This window comes from Homo sapiens, chromosome 3, assembly GCF_000001405.40.
Source record: "Homo sapiens chromosome 3, GRCh38.p14 Primary Assembly".
NCBI lineage: Eukaryota > Metazoa > Chordata > Mammalia > Primates > Hominidae > Homo > Homo sapiens.
Genome location: NC_000003.12, coordinates 75,249,973 through 75,256,069, shown reverse-complemented (window position 1 = coordinate 75,256,069; position 6,097 = coordinate 75,249,973). Strand labels below are relative to the sequence as shown.

Below are 6,097 nucleotides of genomic sequence, written 5' to 3'. Positions count from 1 at the left end.
CATCCAGGATACTCTTAACATGTGCTGGAATACTGCCATATCTTCTAAACATCAAAAAAGAAAAGAAAAAAGTTAAAAAAAAAAAAAAAAGGCTTAGGAGTCTGGTTCAGCTCTGACATGTAAAGAACGTGGACGTCATACTTGGCCTATGACAAGAAACAGTTGAACCAACTGAAAATCAATGACTTTTCTTGGACTCATCGGGTGCATCCAGAGAGACACACCTGAGATCTGCTTACCTGGAAGAGAAGAAGCTGGTGCCATACACTGATAGGAACATCATATGGTAAATGTAATGAATTGCTGCGGGTTGTGTATGAATTACTGTGAGAGTGAGAAACTATTAGGAGCTGGATATTTAGGGGTAGGGGTCTCCCACACTTTAAAGGGCTTTATATTTAGGAACCCCACCAGGTTCTCACAGTAAACATCTGAAAAGATGTTTTTTCATGGCTCTGGCAGGTGGAAGGGAAGAGTAATCATTGTGAAATAGCTCAGTCTTCTCCTTAACAAAGGCTGACACTCCAAAAGAAAGACTCTGCTAAGAGTTTATCACAGTAGAGGCATTCCTCCCACTGAAGCTCCCTTTAGCCTCCTGGTCTCACCTAAGAAGGGAAAACAAATCAACAGCAATCAAGGTTTCAAGGAAATACAATGCGGATGCTGCAGCCAGGGAAGGGAATAGGGAGAGATAGGGGGATAAAAGCTAGATCATGAAGGTCATAGCCCCAGGATATAGACACTGAGATTTAAGTGGGGCATGGTGGTGGAAGTGCCTGTAACCCTAGCCTCTTGGGAGACCCAGAAGTTCTATCACATCACTGCACTCCAGCCTGGGTGACAGAGCAAGACCCTATCTCTGACACAGGAGCTAAAAAGAAATTATTTAGGCAGATAGTGAAGGTAACAGAGTCCTCGGCAAGGTTTCCCTTTTAATAAAAAGCACCCCCCAAATAATTTCTTTTCTAACAAAAAGCAGCCTGCAAAATCAAGCTGCAAGCATAGATAAGCAAGTGGAAGCTTGCACAGATGAATGCCGGCAGCTGTGCCAATAGAAAAAGGACACCTGGAAGTCAGGTATATTCAACATAGGGGTCCCTTTTCTTTGTCGCCACATGTGCAGTAAAGAAATGGGCAGCATGGCGCAGGCCAGGTAGAAAACTCCATTTACATAATAAAAGATCAGGGTTGGATGACCAGCCTCTTTGTGTGCTATGTAAATGGCACATCTGGTCCAACCAATCCTCTGTGCCCTTTGTAAATCAGACACTGCCTCCTCAAGCTCATCTGTAAAAGCAGCTGCATCTTGTTGCAAGGCTAGAAACCCATTCCAGTCCCCTTCCTCTGCACAAGGAAGCTTTCTTCTTTCTTTTGTCTATTAAACTTCCGTTCTTTTTTTTTTTTTTTTTTTTTTGAGACGGAGTCTCGCTCAGTACAAACAGGGTTTCACCATCTTGGCCAGGCTGGTCTTGAACTCCTGATCTCATTATCCACCCGCCTCGGCCTCCCAAAGTGCTGGGATTACAGGCGTGAACCACCGTGTCCAGCCTAAACTTCCACTCTCAGGCGCACTCTTTATGTTTCTGCATCCTTGATTTCCTTGGCATGAGACAATGAACCTCCAGTATTTCCCCAGACAACAACACAGCTTCATCTCAAAAAAAAAAAAAAAAAACCACTAAGATTTAATTGGAGGATTTTAATCATGCAATATCTCTCCTACATCTTAACACCATACCATCAGGTTTCAACACAATGACAGTGGATTACAACTGAAAAAGCTCTCTATTTGAAAAGAAGTACATACTTAGGGAAGCACAAAGTCAAGAGGGGAGACCAAAGAAAAAAATAAGATCATCAGCTGAATTTGAAGTCTCTGGCACCTACAGCTACAGCAAATATTAAACACAATCCTACCCCTAGAAAGGTTAAAATAAATGTTCACACTGAAGACTTATTTATCTCAGTTCCTGTTACCTGATGCATGTGTAGATTTCTACAAAGTATTACAAGGCATGATAAAGGATGAGGAGAAACACAATCTGAAGAGACAAAGCTACCATCAGAACAACACTTAGATATGATTCAGATGTTGGAATTATCTTTTTAAAATAAGTATGATTAACATTTTAAGGACCTTAAAGGAAACAGTAATGGGTAATGTCAGCAGAGAGATAGAAACTCTAAGAAACAAAAGAAAATTCTGGAAATAAAAAATCCTATATATGGATATGAAAAATGCCTTTGATGGGCTTATGAGTAGATTTGACACAGCCAAGGAAAGTTCAATAGAAACTTCCCAAAGAGAAATATTGAAATACAAAGGAAAAATAGGGGCCCGGTGCAGTGGCTGACGCCTGTAATCCCAAAACTTTGGGAGGCCAAGGTGGGCAGATCACTTGAGGTCAGGAGTTCAAGACCAGCCTGGCCAACACGGTGAAACCCTGTTCCTACTAAAAATACAAAAACTGGCCAGGTGCAGTGGCTCACGCCTGTAATCTCAGCACTTTGGGAGGCTGAGGCAGGTGGATCATCTGAGGTCAAGAGTTTGATACCAGCCTGGCCAACGTGGTGAAACCCTGTCTCTACTAAAAATATAAAACTTAGCTGGGCGTGGTGGTGGGCACCTGTAATCCCAGCTACTCGGGAAGCTGAGGCAGGGAGAATCACTTCAACCCCGGGGGTTGCAGTGAACCGAGATCACGCCATTGGACTCCAGCCTGGGTGACATCGAGCGACTCTGTCTCAAAAAAAAAAAAAAAGAAAAAGAAAAAAAAATTAGACGGGTGTAGTCGCATTCACCTGTAATCCCAGCTACTTGGGAGGCTGAGGCAGAAGAATGGCTTGCACCCATGAGGCGAAGGTTGCAGTGAGTCGAGATTGCATCACTGTACTCCAGCCTGGGTGACAGAATGAGACTCTGTCTCAAAAAATATATGTAAAGTAAAAATAAATAAATAAACCAAGAACATCTAAAATTATGGAGCAATTTCAAAGTATAACATATGCAGAAATACTTAGAAGAGAGAACAGAACAGTAGAAATATTTTAAGCAAGAAACAAAAAGCCATAAAGTTTAGAATTCTGCATATGTCACCAAGTAAAGCATTTACCAAGATATTTCCCAAATTAACAGGTGACAGCATGGGCACCTGTATTGGTGTAGAAAAGCCTGTATTTCTGTGAGTGATGAGTTCATTGTAGCAGAAGGTAAAAGAAAAGGAGCCTAGTAAGAGAATGGTAAGCAGAGGTGATTGTGAAGGCTCATGAATACCACTATATCAATCCAAAATCTGTGATATAATTTTGCCTTAGAAAGACATAGTAATAATGGGTTTTAGAGTCAGATGAGATTGGAAAGCTGTAAGTCCATTAGTCCTTACTGCAAAATTCTAGGAAAGGGATAGTGAGAACCATGGCTGGGCAAAAGCTAAAGACTATTACCAGAGATAGGACATGAAGTAAATCCTATAACCAAGTAAAAAAAAGTAGTTTAAAAAACAGATTAATAAAAAGTAATCAAGTAAGAGATTCAAGTTGGGAAATCCCACTGACCAGCACCAATATGAAACTATTGTCCAACAAAGGAGTTGACATTTCTAATTTAGAGTTTTCAGAACTGCAAGCAACAATAAATAAGTCATTTAGAACTTTCTCTGGAAAGCCCCTACAATTTATAAATGCATAAGGAAGTGAATACTTAACCACTCATATGACCTTGAAAATCATGGAGAAGGCTGTCCATGTAGATAGCAGTGGATAATGCCAATAAGGCTGTTTTTAAAATTTCTGAGAGACCACCATTAAAGCTTCATATCCTACAAATGCAGATGCTATGGGCATCTGATTTTGGCCTCACTGACTTCAACACTCTAATTACCAGTTTTCTTTATGGATGAATTAGTTGAATAGCTGTGTGATTTATCCTGATTGATTGTCATCATGGCACATTTGCAGAGGGCATAGTCAATGAAATGCATTTTTAGCAATAGCTATTCTGGCTTCCGTCAATATACATGTGGTGTCAAGCCTTGACAGTTATATCTTGCATATTTTAAGGCACCATTTCTCTTAAGTATAGTATCTAAGAATTTACTTGAGCAAAAATTCTAATACTTGCATCACATGGATGATGTGATATGAAGGCAAGATGATTACATGGCTAAATGGTCTTTCACTGCTTCTACTATGATGAATTGTCAACAGCACTGGCAAAGAGTTTACAAATTGATGACCACATAGGGGTAGATCCAAACCCCAGATATGTTTGCTTAGATCATTCAATAGTTTATGACTTTTAAAATAAACCAACAAAATATTATTTTGGAAAAAAAAAGATTTTACATGAACTACCCCCCACCTCCACGTGCGTGCGCACACACACACACATACACATACACACACTTTATTTTCTTTAAAGATTAGAGAGCTTGACAATACTGTTCCTGCAATTCTGTGTCAACAATGGCCTAAATGCAGTCTCTATTACTTCTCAAATGCATGCATTTACATTTAACCTCATGGTTTCCTTTATTTAGATTACTTGCTTAGCCCATTATTATTAGTTAACCAAGGCTGCCATAACAAAATGCCACAGACTGGTATTCTCTCATAGTCCTGGAGGCTGGAAGTCCCATATCTAGGTGTCAGCAGGCTGCTTTCTCCTGAGGCCTCTCCTTGGTTTGCTGCCTTCAAGCTGTGTCCTTGTATGGTCTTTTCTCTGTGCATGTGCCTTCCTGGTGTCTCTTCTTCTTATAAGGACACCAGTCCTATTGGATTAGGGTCCCACTCTTATGACCTCATTTAATCTTAATTACCTCTTTAATGGTCCTATCCCCAAATATAGTCATATTGCGGTTAAACTTTCAACATAATAAACATTGGTGGGTCACAATTCAGTCCATTACATCCCTGTAAACATTTAGGTTTGTGAATGCTTACAAAAATTTGTAATTTTTTATGTTGGGAGGAGCCATCGAGCAGGACTCAACATAGGAGAGGCAGAAGGGGACTTGGATGTCATTAGCTTGTCTTCCTAACTGAAACAGCTCCTACATCATTGCTGCTGTCCAATCAACTTTTGCTTCAGCCTTTCTGAGATAGCTAAATGTTCTAGCTAATCACTGCCAACCAAGTCATTTTCCATCAAATCACATTGTTTTGATTGATCAGCTAGCATTTGTGGAAAGATTTTGCTTGACTTACCATTCATTGCATCATGTAAAGTCTTGCTTATATAAATCCCTGGGAAGAGTTCCTTCCTGATAATGTTGATGGTAGTTGCCCTGCTGTTCTTTTGAGCAACTAGTCTCTTAAAAAATAAAAAATCATTAGGACAATGCGTTTTGCATAAAAGCCCATATTCCCTATTTGGCTGGTCACCGTAAAGCAGAAATATCTACTATTTTGGCTTCCCTGGGCCACACTGGATAAAGAATTGTCTTGGGCCACACATAAAATACACTATCACTAGCGATAGCTGATGAGCTTAAAAAAATCACCTAAAAATCTCATAATGTTTTAGGAATGTTTACAAACTTATGTTGGGCCACATTCAAAGTCGTGGGCCACAGGTTGGGCAAGCTTACCATAAAGCTTACAAACACAGGGGGAAGCTATGCCACTTAGAAACCAAGAAGGGCCTGCAGGCTGGCATAATGCATCACAATTGTAATCCCAGCACTTTGGGAGGCTGAGGTGGAAGGATCGCTTGAGCCCAGGAGTTTGAGACTAGCCTGGGCAATATGGTGAAATCTCCTCTCTAAAAAAATAAACAAGATTAGCAGCGTGTGGTGGCACGTGGCTGTGGTTCCAGCTACTTCGGATGCTGAGGTGGGAGGATCACCTAAGTCCAAGAGGTTGAGGCTGCAGTTAGCCGGGATCATGCCACTGCACTCTAGCATCGACAACAGGATAAGACTGCCCCACCGTCCCCACCCCTGAAAAAAAAGTGCCTTGAGTCAGAAAGTGTAAACTCAAAATCTTCCCCTGCACTCACTAAGTGTTTAGTTTTTGGCAGGTTACTTATTCTCTTAGAACCCTGGTTTCCTCACCTGTAAATTGAAAAACATATTAATGGTAAATGCTCTTTGTCCAC

General features: G+C 40.7%; 1 annotated feature.

Moving 5' to 3' along the window:
- Positions 290-856: an enhancer, noted in NCBI's record as "OCT4-NANOG hESC enhancer chr3:75304365-75304931 (GRCh37/hg19 assembly coordinates)". NCBI's record gives its function as "activates a minimal SCP1, AML or CMV promoter by ChIP-STARR-seq in primed H9 embryonic stem cells {active_cell/tissue: H9 hESC(primed)}" and the evidence as "EXISTENCE:reporter gene assay evidence [ECO:0000049][PMID:30033119]".